This window comes from Homo sapiens, chromosome 16 (genome assembly GCF_000001405.40).
Source record: "Homo sapiens chromosome 16, GRCh38.p14 Primary Assembly".
Lineage (NCBI taxonomy): Eukaryota > Metazoa > Chordata > Mammalia > Primates > Hominidae > Homo > Homo sapiens.
In genome coordinates this window covers 16,096,684-16,114,461 of record NC_000016.10, presented here as the reverse complement: position 1 = coordinate 16,114,461, position 17,778 = coordinate 16,096,684, and the positions used below count along the sequence as shown (strand labels likewise).

Here is a 17,778-nt window from a genome sequence, read left to right as displayed (position 1 = left end):
GGCTGAGGCAAGGGAATTGCTTGAATCCGGGAGGTGGAGGTTGCAGTGAGCCAAGACTGCGTCCACTCCACTCCAACATGGGCGACAGAATGAGACTCCGTCTCAAAAAAAAAAAAATAGTAATAATAATGATGATGATAATGGCAGCTATTATTCAGAGGGTACTTCCTATGTGCTAAGCACTGTGCTGGGTTTTACATGTAACTGATTTTTATGATGACTCTGAATAACTTCTATTACTACCCAACTTACAGATAAGAAAACTGAAGTCCAGATAGGTGAACGCCTTTGCCCTTAGTATACTGTGCCTAGCAGAAGCAGAACTGGGATTTTAATCCAGACAGCCTGCTCTTAATCCCCATGCCATATTCTTCTAGACCAGGGGTCCCCAACCCCGGGGCCACAGATTGGCAGCAGCTCATGACCGGTTAGGAACCAGGCCCCACAGCAGGAGGTGAGTGGTGGTCACCTCCTGAGCATCAGCGCCTGAGCTCTGCCTCCTGTGAGCTCAGTGGTGGCATTAGATCCTCCTAGCAGTGCGAACCCTATTGTGAACCGTGCATGCAAGGGACCTAGACTGTGCGCTTCTTCTGATAATCTAACTAATGCCTGATGATCTAAGGTGGAACAGTTTCATCCCGAAATCACCACCCACCATTTCCATGAAACCAGTCCCTGGTGCCAAAAAGGCTAGGGATCGCTGTTTTAGAACAGTGCTGAGATAATTTTCTGAAATGATGGCTACTGAGCACTTGAAACGTGTCTAGTCTAATCGAATAAATCTTTAATTTTATTTTTCTTTTGAGATGGGGTCTCTCTCATCCTGTCACCCAGGATGGAGTACAGGGCTGTGATCACGGCTCACTGCAGCCTCGACCTCCTGGGCTCAAGCAATCCTCCCACCTCAGCCTCCTGAGTAGCAGGGATTACAGACATGCGCCACCACGCCCAGCGAATTTTTGTATTTTTTGTAGAAACAGGGTTTTGCCATGCTGCCCAGGCTGGTCTTGAACCCCTGGATTAAGCGATCCACCCGCCTTGGCCTCTCAAAGTGTTGGGGTTACAGGCGTGAGCTACTGCGCCCAACGTTTATTTAATTTTAACAGCTGAAATTAAAATAGCCACCTGTGTCTTGTGACTACCGCACCAGACAGCACAGCTCTGGAACAGACGTTGTTGCTGTGTGAGTTCAGGTAATACCACACCCTCTCTGTTCTCTACCTTCCCTCAATTATAATTTGTAGGCCACAGTCCTTTCCCCTAATGGCAAGGAGAGGGGAGGGGAGGGATTGAGAGACTCAAGGAGTCCATGTGTGCTCTGCTACCGCTGGGTTTTCCCAAAGCCACCTCCTGGAGATCCTGAGACACTGGTGCTTCTCTCAAACAATCCACAGGAGCGCACTGTGTGTTCCAGAGCAGCAACTTCCTAGGAACAGAGAGGCTTCCATCTCGGCCTCTTTAATCGGGAAGACACCCAATAGGCAGGGGCTCAAGTAACAGGCTCTGGAGCCAATGCTGCCAAATCCCATCTCTGCCACTTACCAGCTATGGGACCTCCTACTGGTCACTGAATCTCTCAGTTTCCTCATCTGTAAAATGGGACAATGACGCTGACCTCGGAGCACTGTGGAATGTGAAGTCCCCACCTGGCAATGTGCCTGGCATACAGAAGTACTCAAATGTGTCAAGACTATCCATTTACTGTGTATATATCATATGGACCATACATGTGTATTTGCAAACATGGCTCACATACTGCGTAGCACAGTGGATAACAGCGTGAGCTCCTGAGCCAGACTGCCTTGTTCAATGCCAATGCTGCCATGTATTAGCTGTGTGACTTTTGGCAACTGACTCAACCTCTCCGGGCCTCAGTTTCTGTATCTCCAAAATGAGGGAAATATTAACTCCTACCTCACAGGACTGCTGCAAGGATAAAATAAGTTAAAACACGTGGAAGTGTTTAGAACAAATCCAAGCACCAAGTAAATGCTCAGTAAATGCCAGCTGTTAATATCAACGCTGCTGCATTTGAGGACTCCCATAGGACCACACAGAACAGTATAGAGCAGGGTTTTTTTTTTTTTGTTTATTTTTTGAGACAGGGTCTTGCTCTGTCACCCAGGCTGGAGGGCAGTGGTGCAATCATAGGTCTAACTGTAGGCTCAAACTCCTGGGCTCAAGCAATCTTGTGACCTCAGCTGCCCAAGTAGCTGAGACCACAAGCGCATACCACCACGTGACCTGTAGTTTATTTTATTTATCTATTTTTTCTAGAAATAGGGTCTCACTATGTTGCCCAGGCTGGTCTCGAATATCTGGCCTCAAGCAATCCTTTGACTTCAGCCTCCCAAAGTGTGGGATTACAGGTGTGAGCCACCATGCCTGGCCAACAGCAGGGTTTCTCAATCTTTTGACAACCAAAAGCATCTCCAGATATTGTCAAACATCCCTGAGGGACAACACTGCCCATAATTGGGAATTACTAGTATAAGCCAATTTCCGCCCTCACTCAGCAGGCAAAAGTCCGCAAATGAGACCTCATGGAAGCTCTGTCACTGTGACAAAGCAAACATGCTCAAGGGGGTCCTCCCAACCCTCAGTGCTTCCAGAGGCCTCTGTTCTCAACTGTCCTCATCTGTAAAATGGGCACACTGGAGCACTCCTCCCGTCTACCACCAAGGCCCATATGAACAAAGCACTCAAACACCCACTCTACAAATATCTGAGTGTCTACTAGCTGACAGCTACCATTTTTCTGGGTTTGGCTTGGTTTGGGGTCCCACAAAACGCTGAGGACTCTAAGGATCCATTTCTATAATTAGACAAAGCCACAACAGGGGCCCAAATCAGGCGGGGTGGGAGACAGCGGCACCAACCTTGTGAAATGCCCAGGGCTCCATAGACGCTCAGCCGGACTTTCGTGTGCTCCTGAGTCCCGTTGACGATGGGGTCATCAGTCCAGAGGCTGAGCCAATAGTTGGAAGCCAGCGCGGACACATGGTTACACATGAAAAGGAAGATGCTGAGGAAGGAGATGAAGAGTCCGATGGCCTTCATGTAGTCCCAGTACACGGAAAGCTTGACCTGGAGATCACAGGAGATAAGGCAGCTTAGCACATGCACGCACCCAGCCCCAGCCCCAGCCCCACAAGGTCGGGGGCTTCACCAGCACTGTGCCACCCAGCTGCCTGCCTTTGCTCCTACGTAGAACACCCCTCCCCTTTAGCTATTCAACAAAGTCAGCAGTAAACAAAGTCGAGGGCCAGGCGCCGTGGCTCACACCTGTAATCCCAACATTTTGGGAGGCTGAGGCGGGCAGATCAACTGAGGTAGAGACTTCGAGACCAGCCTGGCCAATATGGCAAAATCCTGCCTCTATTAAAAATATAAAGTTAGCCGGGTGTGTGGTCGGCATCTGTAATCCCAGCTAATTGGAAGGCCGAGGCAGAATTCCTCGAACCCAGGAGGCAGAGGTAGAAGCAGTGAGCCAAGATTGCCCCACTGCACTCCAGCCTGGGCGACAGAGTGAGACTCCGTCTCAAAAAAAAGAGACAAACTCAGGGTCTCTGCCCTCATGCATGGAGCTTCCAGTCGCGTGGTGAGATAGGCTCCCATAAAATCATCCCAGATAAATGCGTCATCACAGAGAAGGGCTGTAAACGGTGCACAATTCCACGTGAGTATAAAATCAGACAACCTGACCTAATGCAGTCTAGAGAGGTATTGGGGGAGGTTTTCTTCGAGGAAGTGACATTAAAGAGTTAAACCAAGGCTGGGTGCAGTGGCTCATGCCTGTGATCCCAGCACGTCGGTAGGCCGAGGCGGGTGGATTACCTGAGGTCAGGAGTTTGAGACCAGCCTGACTAACATGGCGAAACCCCTTGCCTACTAAAATACAAAAATTAGCTGGGCATGGTGGTAGGCACATGTCATCTCAGCTACTCGGGAGGCTGAGGCAAGAGAATGGCTTGAACCCAGTAGGCGGAGGTTACAGTGAGCCGAGAATGCGCCACTGCACTCCAGCGTGGGTGACAGAGTGAGACTGTCTCTAAAAAATAAAAAAAAATAAAGAGTGCTGGGCATCGTGGCTCACACACCTGTAATCCCAGCACTTTGAGGGGCTGCGGCAAGTGGATCACCTGAGGTCAGGAATCCGAGACCAGCCTGGCCAACATGATGAAATCTCACCTCTACAAAAAATACAAAAATTAGTCAGGCGTGGGGGCACATGCCTGTAGGCTGAGGCACAAGGGTCGCTTGAAGCCAGGAGGTGGAGGTTGCACCAAGCCAAACTTACTGCACACCAGCCTGGGTGACAGAGGGAGACATTGCCTCCAGGGGGAAAAAAAAAAAAAGGAGTTAAACCAGCTGAAAATGGAAAAAAGGTGGCAGAACCAGCATGTGCAAAGGCCCTGAGGTAGGAGGGAACACAGTGCATCTGGGGAACTGAGAGAAGGCACTGGTGGCTGGAGCCAGGAGATCATGGGGCAGCAAGGAACAAGAGGCTGGAAAAACCGGTCGCAGTCAGACCACACATGGCATGGGAGACTCGGGTCAGGATTCCAACTTTTAGCCAAGACTGACAGAAAGCAGAAGCCACCAATGAGTTTTAAGCAACGTGTGACATGTTGCCTGGCAACCAAGGCCAAATGTCACCTCAACACCACAACTGGGCCAGCCTCCTCCAACTCTTTTCACTCTGAGCACAGAATACCATCTCACCCATCTTCCCAGTGCCCAGTTCGCTCCAGGAGGTGAAGGTTGGAGTTTCTTTCCCTCCTATATTCCCTGTGGAGCCCAGCATGGGGCTAAACAAATGTGTCTAGCCGCCTGACATGAGAGACAGGGCAATCTGCTTTAGGCCAGCCCCCACCTAAACCACCTGACTTGGTTTCAAGAAATTCCAGGGATCTTTACCCGTGTCTGTGCTCATTGTCATTTCAAGCTTTTCATGCTGAATTTTGGGTCATGAAAATCATCTGGACTGGGTGCGGTGGCTCACACCTATAATGCCAGCACTTTGGGAGGCCAAGGCAGGACAATGACTTGAGCCCAGGAGTTTGAGACCAGCCTGGGAAACACAGTAAGACCCTGTCTCTACAAAAAATTTTAAAATTAGCTAGGTGTGGTGGTCCACACCTATAGTCCCAGCTACTCAGGAAGCTGAGCTAGGAGGAGCTCTTGAACCCAGAAGCTTAAGGCTGCAGTGAGCGTTGGTCACACCACTGCACTCCAGCCTGAGCGACACAGTGAGGCTCTGCCCCTCACCAGAAAAAAAAACAAAAATCATCTGACCCTACGGTCTAGCTGAAAGGTAACAGGTGAAAGATAACAGGTCTGATGTGTAACTGGCTGCTTCCTTTTGAGTTTTCAAGTCCCCATTCTGGAAAATGAAAAATGTGGGTGAGGAGACAGGTCATAATTAAGAATGTGTTTATTTCACCACTTGGCTTTGTCATGCGGCCAAGTTGCCTGCTGTCCCTGAAATTAGCCTGCAGCGTTCAGGAACCTCTTTCTCATGAGTAGTGGAATGTGGTGGGCTCGGGGGTCAGAAATGACAAGTGTGTGGCCAGGTGTGGTGGCTCACATCTGTAATCCCAGTACTTTGGGAGGCGGGCCAGTCACTTGAGCCCAGGAGCTCAAGACCAGTCTGGGCGACAGGGCGAAACCTCATCTCCACAAAAAAATTAAAAAAATTAGTCAAGCGTGGGGGTGCACACATGTAGTCACAGCTACTTGGAAGGCTGAGGTGGGAGAATCACTTGAATCCGGGAGGTGGAGGCTGCAGTTAGCCATGATTGTGCCACTGCACTCCATCCTGGGTGACAGAGTCAGACCTTGTCTCAGAAAAAAAAAAAAGAAAACAAATTAAAAAAAAAAAAAAGGCCGGGCGCAGTGGCTCATGCCTATAATCCCAGCACCAGCTCTTTGGGAGGCTGAGGCAGGCAGATCACAAGGTCAGGAGTTTGAGACCAGCCTGGCCAACATAGTGAAACGCCATCTCTACCGAAAATACAAAAATTAGCTAGGCATGGTGGCGCAGGCCTGTAGTCCCAGCTACTCGGGAGGCTGAGGCAGGTAAATTGCTTGAACCCGGGAGGCGGAGGTTGCGGTGAGCGCCACGGCACTACAGCCTGGGCAACACAGCAGGACTTCGTCTCAAAAAAAAAAAAAAAAAAAAAAAAGACACAAAGAAACGATAAGCGTGTTGTGCCTGGCTCCACTCTGGGTCCAACTTTGACAAGTAACAAGCCCCCTGGCTTTGATGTTCCTTGAATATAAAATTGGAGTTAAATGAGGATTAAATGGGCCTGGCATCTCTGGCCCTTCCTTCCCATGTCCTGCGATTTGGGGTAACTTCTCTGGCTTCCTGGAGGGTCACTAAGGGTAAGGCGAGAGAGGACACCAGAGTCACCTCTGCCCCTTGTTACGGTCCTGACTCTGATGACAAGTTAAGGAAGAAGCCAGGAACAGACAGTCCTCGGAAGCTCTGGACACATCCGGGCAGATCTAAGAGAAAGTGCCCCAGCCCCACTCCCCGGCTACCACCTTTCATGTTTTTTTTTTTGTTTTTCTTTATCTGCATGCTTATTTTTTACCTACTTTAAAAATTCCATTCCCTTTAAAAACAAAAACAAAAAAAACCACATTTATTTTTAAAAATAAACTTTGGATCACCACCATAAATGGAGAATTATTAACACTTGCCCAAAATAGACGATCTTTAAAAACAATAAAACAGGAGCTCAAAACCCGGTCTCCTTGTTACAAAGAGAGGATAGTGGTTGATAGGTTGAGAAGGCAGGGTAGGACCCAACTGGGACTTTCTCAGGGACGTAATCATTAGGACCAAATGAGAAATGAAAAACAGGCAGGACGCGGTGCTCACCCCTGTAATCCCAGCATTTTGGGAGGCCAAGGTGGGTGGATCACCTGAGGTCAGGAGTTCAAGACCAGCCTGGCCAACATGGTGAAACCCTGTCTCTACTAAAAATACAAAAATTAGCTGGGCAAGGTAGCAAGTTTCTGTAATCCCAGCTACTCAGGAGGCTGAGGCAGGAAAACTGCTTGAACCCAGGAGGCAGAGGTTGTAGTGAGCCGAGATCGCACCACTGCACTCCAGCCTTGGTGACAGAGTGAGACTCCATCTCAAAAAAATAAAAATTAAAAAAAGAAATGAAACAAACATTCCTCTGTCATTTAATGCGTCTGTGCACAACCGGACACCATCTCATGCACAACTGAACCCCACGTTGCAGGAAGCCCTGATTTAAAGCATCCAGCTCACCTCTAGCGAATGAGACCCCCCTGAGCTGCTCAGGCAGTCAATAGAGCAGAGACTACAAGTACTAACCCTGGAGTTGGCCAGGGTTCAAATCCCAGTTCTGCCGCTGACCAGGGGTGACCGTGAGTAAGTCACTTAGCCTCTCTGGCCTCAGTTTCTGGTGCTGCAAATAGTATCTTCACAGGTGTGTTGTGATGGACAGGTGAGTTAACATAGACAAGGCACTTTGCACAGTGCCCAGTGCACAGTGGGCGCTCTATAAACTCCAGCCACTGTCATCACTTAAGGAGCGAATCTCACCTGCCCTGTCTGCGCCTTGTCAGCCTCCATCAGCTTCCAGGTCTCCTCCTTCTTGGCCTCAGCTTTCTGCAGTTCTGCGGTGCTGTTGTGGTGCCTGCTGATGTCCCCACTATAGGAGGAGGAGCTGCTGAGCTGTCTGGAGAAGCAAAGCACAAGGGTGTCAACCGTACAGATGCCTTGGGCAGGGTCGGAGGGCTCCCTGCTGGGACTGCTATTGTGGGTCTGAACCATGGCATAAGAGACGGAGTGTTTCCACATGCACACATGTAAACATATATATGAATATATGCACCACACCCCACCATGTCACTCTCCAGGTTTATAGGTACCCAGAGAAAGGCAGTGTCTCAGGCAGGAATGAGACCCATGGGAAACGCAATCTGTGATGATCTCTGGGGGCCTGCAAAAAGCCCATGACAACTGGTATATAAAAAGTGCGTGCTTTTTTTTTTTTTTTCTGAGATCAATTAGAATTCATCTCAAAAAAAAAAAAGCCAATAAAAGATATAACAGAAAGGGCACATCGTAGATCATTTTTCAAACATGAAAAAGATTCAAAATGTAACATATGATGAAAAACATAGGGCAAAGTACCCAGCTAGTTCGATTTTCTTGTTTTACAAATGTGGTGGGCACTGGGGTGGGATCTTGCCTGACTGCTCCTTCATGCAAGCGTGTTACTCAGAAAGCATTATTTGGCCAGGTGCAGTGGCTCACACCTGTAATCCCAGCACTTTGGGAGGCCGAGGTGGGCGGATCACTTGAGGCCAGGAGTTCAAGACTAGCCTGGCCAACACGGTGAAACCCCGTCTCTACTAAAAATACAAAAATTAGCCAGGCGTGGTACCGTGCACCTGCAGTCCCAACTACTTGGGAGGTTGAGGCAGGAGAATCGCTTGAATCCCAGAGGCAGAAATTGCAGTGAGCCGTGATTGCACCACTGCACTCCAGCCTCAGCGACTGAGTAAGACCCTGTCTCAAAAAAAAAAAAAAAAGCACTTTTCGCACATCAGTGGTCATGAGCTTTATGCAGACCCCCAGAGATGATCACAGATTGCGTCGCCCACAGTTTTCCGTTCAGTGGCTGACATCGCGCCACTGCACACTGCACTCCAGCCTGGGCGACAGAGGGAGACTCATGTCAAAAAAAAAAAAAAAAGAAAAGAAAAGAAAAGAAATTATGGAGACCATGCAAAACACAGCTGCGGCTCACTGCCGTGGAAATTTCTATACTTTCCTCTACCCACTTATCTCCTGCACAAGATTATAAGCTAACTGAGGTCAAGAGCCCCATATGAGTCATCCCTGCACCCCCAGAACTGTGTCCCCTGAAAACACTTCCTGAAGGCCGAATAAACCTCCACCACCTCCCCTCTTTGAATTAGCGCCTGGGATTGGGTAAACTTTCCTTACCCATGAGATCTGTGCAAAGGTCTTTAGTTAAGGCCTAGTGAGGTGGAAGTGGCCCTCAAATCTGAAAGCAAGAGTGAGTTTTCAGGGAGTGGCAGAGGGAGCAACTGGAACCAACTCTGGATGGAATCTAGAATTCAAATGGGGAGCTGGGGCTTCCTGCTTCATGACCTAGGACTTCACACATCCACACACCTCGACAGAAAATCTTACATCCTTCTACACTCATGCACTGTCTGGAGTCTCCCACTAGAATTTAGGCTGTGTAAGATTGAGAAGTGACAGCGTGCTGGCAGCCCTCGCAGCCCTCGCTCGCTCTCTGTGCCTCCTCGGCCTTGGCACCCACTCTGGCAGCGCTTGAGGAGCCCTTCAGCCCGCCGCTGCACTGTGGGAGCCCCTTTCTGGGCTGGCCAAGGCTGGAGCCGGCTCCCTCAGCTTGCGGGGAGGTGTGGAGGGAGAGGAACGGGAGGGAACCGGAGCTGCACAGGGCGCTTGCGGGCCAGCGCTAGTTCTGGGTGGGCGTCGGCTCGGTGGACCCCGCACTCAGAGCTGCCGGGCAGCCCCGCCAGCCCGGGTAGTGAGGGGCTTAGCACCTGGGCCAGCAGCTGCTGCACTTGATTTCTCACCGGGCTTTAGCTGCCTCCCCGCGGGGCAGGGCTCGGGACCTGCAGCCTGCCATGCCTGAGCCTCCCCACCTCCCCGCTATGGGCTCCTGCGCGGCCCGAGCCTCCCGGACGAGTGCCGCCCCTGCTCCATGGCGCCCAGTCCCTTCCACCGCCCAAGGGCTGAGGAGTGAGGGCGCACGGCACGGGACTGGCAGGCAGCTCCACCTGCAGCCCCAGTGTGGCATCCACCTGGTGAAGCCAGCTGGGCTCCTGAGTCTGGTGCTGACTTGGAGGCCCTTTATGTCTAGCTAAGGGATTGTAAATACACCAATCAGCACTCTGTATCTAGCTCAAGGTTTGTAAACACACCAATCAGCACCCTGTGTCTAGCTCAGGGTTTGTGAATGCACCAATCAACACTCTATATCTAGCTAATCTAGTGGGGATGTGGGGAACTTACGTATCTAGCTCAGGGGTTGTAAACACACCAATCAGCACCCTGTCAAAACGGACCAATCAACACTCTGTAAAAACAGACCAATCGGCTCTCTGTAAAATGGACCAATCAGCAGGATGTGGGTAGGGCCAGATAAGAGAATAAAAGCTGGCTGCCAGAGCCAGCAGTGGCCACCTACTGGGGTACCCTTCCAAACTGTGGAAGCTTTATTGTTTCACTCTTTGCGATAAATCTTTCTGCTGCTCAGTGTTTGGGTCCACATTGCCTTTGTGAGCTGTAACACTCACCATCAAGGTCTACAGCTTCACTCCTGAAGCCAGCCAGAGCACAAACCCAGCGGGAGGAACGAACGACTCCAGACACGCCACCTTAAGAGCTGTAACACTTACCGCGAAGGTCTGCAGCTTCACTCCTGAGGCCAGCGAGACCACGAACCCACCAGAAGGAAGAAACTCCGAACACATCCGAACAGCAGAAGGAACAAACCCCAGACGTGCCACCTTTAAGAACTGTAACACTCACCGTGAGGGTCTGCGGCTTCATTCTTGAAGTCAGTGAGACCAAGACCCACCAATTCCGGACCATAACCATGTCCGGATGATAACCATGGCAAAAGCGACATCTACGAAGTGTTTGTCTGTTCCAGGCACCGTGCTATGCCGCATGGTCTTTGCTCTCTCCTGACCCCTGTAGCAACTGCAGGTCCGGGATCCTTTCTCAGATCTCCGCGGTCTGATACGTTTAGGCTCCGACTTTGTCAATTTTTGTTGTTGTTTTACTGTTTTCTGCTGCTGCTGCTGTTTTGTTTTGTTTTTGTTTTTTGAGATGGAGTCTCGCTCTGTCACCCAGGCTGGAGTGCCATGGCGCAATCTCGGCTCACTGCAACCTCCACCTCCTGGGTTCAAGCGATTCTCGTGCCTCAGCCTCCCGAGTAGCTGGGACTACAGGCGCCTGCCACCATGCCTGGCTAATTTTTGTATCTTTAGTAGAGACAGGGTTTCATCATGTTGGCCAGGCTGGTCTTCAACTCCTGTCCTCAGGTGATCCGCCCGCCTCAGCCTCCCGAAGTGCTGGGATTATAGGCATGAGCCACCCTGCCTGGCCGACTTAGCCAGTTTTTTAAAAGCTAGGATGGTTAATATACTGCATACGCTATAAATCCCCAGGGATCTAAGGAAGCCCTCTATAATCAAACACGAGCATACTTCCTTTTTTGTAGAGATGAGGTCTTGCTATGTTACCCACTGTGGTCTCAAACTCCTGGCCTCAAGCGATCCTCCTGCCTCAACCTCCCAAAGTGCTGAGATTACAAGCAGGAGCCACCACACCTGGCCTTGAGACAGTTTTAAATCAAATGCTGCTTCACAAAGCCTGAACCTTCCAGGCCCCGCCAAGAGACCTGAGCAAAGACCCACACCATGTAGGGAGCCCGAGTGTCAGAAGCGTGGACAGCTGGTTAAATCATGAGGCCTGTGTGAGTTGTGCCACCTGGCAAAAAGAGTGCCACATTCCTTCTTTGGGCCTCTGTACTCTGAAAAGCAAGGTCCTTGGAGGATTTGGGAGGGAAGGTAAAAGCCCAGGCCTTCCAGGACCTCAGGGGGCTGAGGCCTTTTTTTGTTCCTCCTCTTGTCCTCCCACTGGCAGGGCAGGGTCCTTAGGTTGGGGCCTTCCTCCCCGCCCTTACCTCTGCAGTTGCTTCCCTGCACTGTCCGTCACCAGCATGCCATTCTCCATTTGCTTTGCTTCCTTCCCTGGACCGCTGACGCCCGTGACCCCTGGCAGAAGAGAGACAAAGGGGGCAAGTGGGGTTATATGAGGCAGATGCTAAAACCAAGGGCAACAAAAACCGGCCACTTCAGTGAGGAGACCACAGAGCACCTGGCCGCCAGGATGATCAGAAAGTAGGAGACCTGCTCTGCAGAGGCCATGAACAGGCTGTCTGGTTGTGGGGCAGGTGGTATCTGGAGCTCAGTCCCTTGGGGTAGGGACAGTGCTTTGCAACTGTGCAGAAGGCTCCATCCACTGAGGGCACTGGGCCTGAGCCAGCATCCTGTGCCAGCAGCAATGGGTAAAACCCAGCCCAGAAAACAGTAGCCCTGCTATGTTAAGCTCACTTCCTAGGACCAGGATGCAAGGAAACGCATGAGGGAAAGGGCATAGCCCCGTGATTCCCAAGCATTGAAAGAAGAAGTGATATTCAAAATAGATAACCAATTTGACAAGGCCATCAGCCAACAGGCAGAGGCCCGGAGACCCCTGTAGTGCCAGGAGTTAACCCTTCAGTTCCTAGACCACAGAGAGGTCCCAAGAGTTCAGGGTAAAAGGTACCTGGGGCAGTGGCTGTTTCCACAGTAATAAAGTATTTCAACATTTGAACTGGGGAACCAAGTTCTGCCAACAACCAGGTGAGCTTCAAAGTGGACCCTTCCCTGATTGAGTCTTCAGATGAGACCCCAGCCCTGGCAGATGCCTTGGTTGCAGAATTAGGAAGGACACTGATAAGGACACCAAGGGACACAGCAGCTGGATATCTGCCCTGATCCCAGGAAGAATCCACCCAGCATCAACAATAATCACCGGAACATCAACAATGACAATGACAGCCAACATTTATCAAGTGCACTTGGGCACCGTGTGTCGTGTCAACACAGATCATATCTCTTTCCCGGTTCACAATAACTCAGTGATGATGATGACTACTGCCCCCACTCCGCACTGACTGCCTCATTCTTTGGTGCCAGGAGAGAAAGCAGCACAATGTAAGGCACCACAGGGCTGACCCCAGAGAAGGTGGGAGAGGACCCAGGACAGAAGATACAAAAGGGATAAATACGCAGCCAGCAGCATGGTCAGGGTGACCCTGGGAACATGCTCGGGTGATGACATGAATAAAAGCAGAGCTCAAAAATGCAAAATCTTGCAGAAACAGCCACAGGGAGACACAGACACACCTGGAAGGGAAGAGGGGGCTGCAGATCATTCCTGGACAGAGGGAGGCACTCCATGCCAGGAATTCTCAGTCTTGGTTGTAAATGAGTCACGGGGGGCTTTATAAATGAGCAGGTGGCCGCCGGGCACGGTGGCTCACACCTGTAATCCCCAGCACTTTCAAGGCCGAGGCGGGCAGATCGCTTGAGGCCAGGAGTTCAAGACCAGCCTGGCCAACATGGAAAAACCCCAACTCTATTCTAAAAATACAAAAATTAGCTGGGCGTGGTGGTGCATGCCTGTAATCCCACCTACTCGGGAGGCTGAGGCTCTAGAATTGCTTGAACCCGGGAGGCGGAGGTTGCAGTGAGCTGAAATCATGCTACCACACTCCAGCCTGGGTGACAGAGCGAGACTCTGTCTAAAAATAAAAATAAAAAATAAAAATAAAAAAAAAATCTAAAAAACACGAATAAAAGAAAATAAACCAAAAAATTAAAATTAAAAACTGAGCAGGTGCCCTCGTGTCCAGCCCAGTCCCTGCTATGAGTCTCGATTAGAGCTCCAGGAACTGTGATATGTGGGAAGTGTTCTCTCACTTCCTGGCTGTGCCCCTTGGGGAAATGATAAATCTGTCTGAGCCTCATCTTCCACATCTGCAAAACAGGAACAGCAGACCCAACCTTCATTTGCGAGAGGGTGAAACGAGACTGCACGCAGTGCCTGGCACAGCAAGTGTTCAGTGATGGCGACCCCCGTGTTGCTTATTACTAAATACATTTTTAAACAGGTTCTACAGAGAATTCTAGGCACAGCCAGGAACTGAGAAACTCTGCTTTAAACATTCCCTTTAATGTCAGCATCTGTTTTGTTTTGTCTAAACTAACTAAACACTAACTTAAAAAACAAACAAAACACAAATAGCCACATCACCCAGGAAGGAAGAATGATACCAAGCAGGACTTCCCATGCAGCCTGTCCTCACACACATGTGTGACACTGGGAACCAGCCATGCCCTTAACCATCTTTCTCTGTGCAGGGATGAGAATGTTCCAGAACACTCCCAGGGACCCCCATCTGGAGGCTGCATGCCGCAGAGAGCCCCCCCGCTCTCCTACCAGCAGCCTCAGGCCACCCTCCTATAAGCCTCAGCCTTCACTTCTCCTGTTCGTCACTGAGCGCAGCCACCATGGTCAGCTGGGAGCTTCTGCAGGCATGCAGTGCTCGCTAAGGCTGTCTTACCCTCTCAACCCACCAATTAGCCCACAGGTCGAACTGGGCAGCTGGAAAATTCCACTCTGCACGGAGGAGGACCAAGCGCCTAAGAGGAGGAATCTGAACATCAGTTAGTCCACCATCCTCTCAGCATTTTTTTTTTTCCTTGTCTTGAGACAAGGTCTTCTCTGTCGCCCAGGCTGGATTGCACTGGTGCCATCTTGGCTCACTGCAACCTCTGCCTCTTGGGTTCAATCGATCCTCCCACCTCAGCCTCCCAGGAAGCTGGGATTACAGGCATGCACCACCGTGCCTGGCTAATTCTTTTGTATTTCTAGTAGAGACGGGGTTTCACCATGTTGGCCAGGCTGGTCTCAAACCCCTGACCTCAGGTGATCCACCCACCTCGGCCTCCCAGAGTGCTGGGATTACAGGTGTGAGCCACTGTGCCTGGCCCCCTGTTGGCTTTTTGAAGGGATCAGCTCTCCCTCTTCCTACAGCCTTGGTGGGCCTGTCAATCAGGGTGCCTCAGATTCCCCCAGCCAAGGTGGGCACTGTCTGAGGTCGCCCCATAAAAGCCCCTCTCCCAGGATTTGAACCGTCATCAGTGGTCTACAAGGACCAAAGACAGTTCAAGTTCACCTGTCCTAAAAGAGTCTAGTCTCCCAGAGTTCCCATTTCCTGAGTCCTACTTGCTCAGTTCTGCCTTTGATTCATGAGTTACCTGGTATCCTTCCAGGAAACACCCTCTGTTTGTTTAAGGTGGCCAGATTCAGCTTCTGCTGCTTACAAAAAAAGCCCTTGGCTGGGACCCTAAGCCACACACTGCAGAAGGCAGGAGGGATGGGTCCAGTCTGGCCACTGGAATTCCACTAGGCGACATCCCTCTTCAGGGTCCCCACCACCACCTGCTGCAGTTCCCCAACAGGCGCTGATCACCCTGCATTGTCTGGGCCCATGTGTGTCTTGACTGTGCCCCAGGATCTATGCGTGGCAGCTCACAATCAAACTGTTGCCATTTATTGTCCATCCACTGTGTGCCAGGCACTTCATAAGCATGGTCCCCTCAAGGCATGCTGGTCACGGTAACGTGATGCATGAAACAGTAGAGCTTACCCAAGGTCATCAGTGACAATAAAGGGATCTGGGGACTCAGGCTGTATCCCCCAGTGCCAGCCTCAAAGCCAGACACACAGTAGGTACCCAGTAAATGTGTGCTAAATGAACCAATGAACAACCGGAGGGGTGAAAACACAGACATCTGACGGCACCTCCCCAGACATGCAGCGACAGTCTCGGCCCGTCTCTGGCCTCATTCTATGAGCCAAGCCAACTCCAACCCGGGCAGTACTGACCTGCTTCCTCCTCGTCCATCACTGTGCTGCCTGGGAATTCAGAAGACCCAAGATATTGTTAAGAAGCAAAGCGAAACTCCCGCCCTAAGCCCCTATCTAAATAAAGGAGTGAAGGGAGTGTCTTTTCTAAAGGGGGAGAGGCAAGAATGGCTGAAGGGTCTGCTCCATTTGTGCGTCAGTTTCCCCATCCCACACGTGCTGGGTGGATCCGGGACAAGCACACTGCACAAGACCAACCCCTTTCTCCAAAGTCATAACTGTGTTGGGTTTTTGTTTGTTTGTTTGTGACAGAGTTTCACTCTTTAGCCCAGGCTGGAGGGAAGTGGCGTGATCTTAGCTCACCGCAACCTCCGCCACCCAGGTTCAAGCAATTCTCCAGCCTCAGCCTCCCAAATAGCTGGGATTACAGGTGCCCGCCACCACACCTGGCTAATTTTCGTATTTTTAGTAGAGACGGGGTTTTGCCATGTTGGCCAGGCTGGTCTCAAACTCCTGACCTCAGCTGATACACCTGCCTTGGCCTCCCAAAGTGCTAGGATTACAGGCGTGAGCCACCATGCCTGGCCAAAGTCATAACTGTGTTTAACCATAAATAGAGCTAAACAAATAATGCAGACCAACCTTCAGTCTTCAGGCTTGTTTTTACGCAGGAGAGGAAAAGAAATAAAGTATTACAGTAGGCAGGCCAGGCATGACACTGGGAGGTGGCATGGGCATCAGCTCCAGCCCCTTTGAGGACAGACACTGCTCCTGAGAGGGGCTGGCCCCACACAGAGCCAGATGCACATGTGCCCAAGAGGAGAAGAAAAGGTGACTTAGCCCAGATATCACCCTGGACCCTCCCAGGCTGGGATGGGGGCTCCTTCTCTGTGATTTCCCAGGCCCTCAAGCAGCCCTCCATCACTGCATTTAGCACTATGATACCCTTAATTGTTTGGCGTTTGTCTCTCCCATCAGACTGTGAGCTCTCAAGGGCATGAAGTGGGTCATATCCATTACTGTATCACCAGCACCTGGCACAGCAGGTGGCCAAGTGCAGTTACACAAGATGCACACTGCACAACTCAACGTGGGGGGCACCATTCCACACAGAGGCTCACGTACCAGGTGGCCTTGTGGCACACAGCAGGCACTCTGTACACACCCGACAGACAGATGGGCAGACTGACAAGTGTATAGTCAAGTCAAGAAGCAGAGCTGACTTCCCAATGCCAGAGGGGCCCCTCTCATAGGCAGGACTGACAAAGCTGCTTTCTAAAGCAGACCTGAGAGGGGGTGAAATCCACTCCTATTTTCTCCTAGTCTGAGGTATTTATCTGCAGTGTAAACATCCAAAGCCCTCCGGCCTACCCACTGCTTATGCAGGACATGCCTTGAACAGCCAAGGTGCGATTCATCCACTCATTTAACACATTTACTGAGTGTCTACTATGTGTCAGGCTCTTTTCTTAGTCCTGGGGATGGAGAGACAACCAAAAAGCCCTCAGAGCAGCCGGGCACGATGGCTCATGCCTGTAATCCCAGCACTTTGGGAGGCTGAGGCGGGTGGATCACTTGAGGTCCGGAGTTCAAGACCAGCCTGACCAATGTGGCACAACGCCGTCTCTACTAAAAATACAAAAATTAGCCGGGCGTGGTGGCAGGCATCCGTAATCCCAGCTACTTGGGAGGTTGCGGCAGGAGAATCACTTGGACCCAGGAGGTGGAGGTTGCAGTGAGCCGAGATTGCACCATTGCACTCCAGCCTGGGCAACAGCGTGAGACTCCCAAAACAAACAAAACAAAACAAAACAAACAAACAAAACCCTCAGATCTTAAATTCCAAAGGAAGAGATCAACAATAAATGAACAAGTAGATCCATAATTTACTCCAGGCAGCAATAAGTGCCACAAAGTAATCAAAGCAGGGAAGAAGAGGGACATGAAGGCTGGGGGCCAGGGTGGAGAATGCTATAAAGTAGCAAGAGTTCTTTCTTTTTTTTTTTAAAGCAAACACACGAAACTTGTAATTCAGTGACTGTCACTGAGTTCATGCAACCACCAGGTGTTGGGTTTTGGATGCTGTCAAGCCAGGTGCTGTTTCTACCCTTGACCCACGTACGTTAAGTGCTGCCCCGGGTCTGTGTATTCCGTTGCCAGTCCTCTCACTGTTTATTCCACCAACACTGCCTTTACTCAAGAAGGTTCTGGAACTCTGCTTGGGCAAGGTCCAGCAGGCC

At 50.7% G+C, this 17,778-nt stretch overlaps 1 protein-coding gene across 27 annotated transcripts in view, besides 2 other annotated features; it reads right to left on the bottom strand.

The window, feature by feature from the left end:
- The window catches only part of ABCC1 (ATP binding cassette subfamily C member 1 (ABCC1 blood group)), a 193,911-nt gene that overhangs the window by 28,592 nt on the left and 147,541 nt on the right, over positions 1-17,778 (bottom strand). For all 27 annotated transcript variants that reach the window (XM_047434134.1, NM_004996.4, NM_001438755.1 and 24 more), the window contains 3 exons: positions 11,745-11,835; positions 7,589-7,724; positions 2,880-3,087 (listed from right to left, as the gene is read on the bottom strand). In XM_047434134.1, the coding sequence (XP_047290090.1) occupies positions 2,880-3,087; positions 7,589-7,724; positions 11,745-11,835 (435 nt within the window). The remainder of the gene's footprint in view (positions 1-2,879; positions 3,088-7,588; positions 7,725-11,744; positions 11,836-17,778) is intronic.
- Positions 13,717-14,216: an enhancer, noted in NCBI's record as "H3K27ac hESC enhancer chr16:16194103-16194602 (GRCh37/hg19 assembly coordinates)". NCBI's record gives its function as "activates a minimal SCP1, AML or CMV promoter by ChIP-STARR-seq in naive H9 embryonic stem cells {active_cell/tissue: H9 hESC(naive)}" and the evidence as "EXISTENCE:reporter gene assay evidence [ECO:0000049][PMID:30033119]".
- Positions 14,217-14,718: an enhancer, noted in NCBI's record as "H3K27ac hESC enhancer chr16:16193601-16194102 (GRCh37/hg19 assembly coordinates)". NCBI's record gives its function as "activates a minimal SCP1, AML or CMV promoter by ChIP-STARR-seq in naive H9 embryonic stem cells {active_cell/tissue: H9 hESC(naive)}" and the evidence as "EXISTENCE:reporter gene assay evidence [ECO:0000049][PMID:30033119]".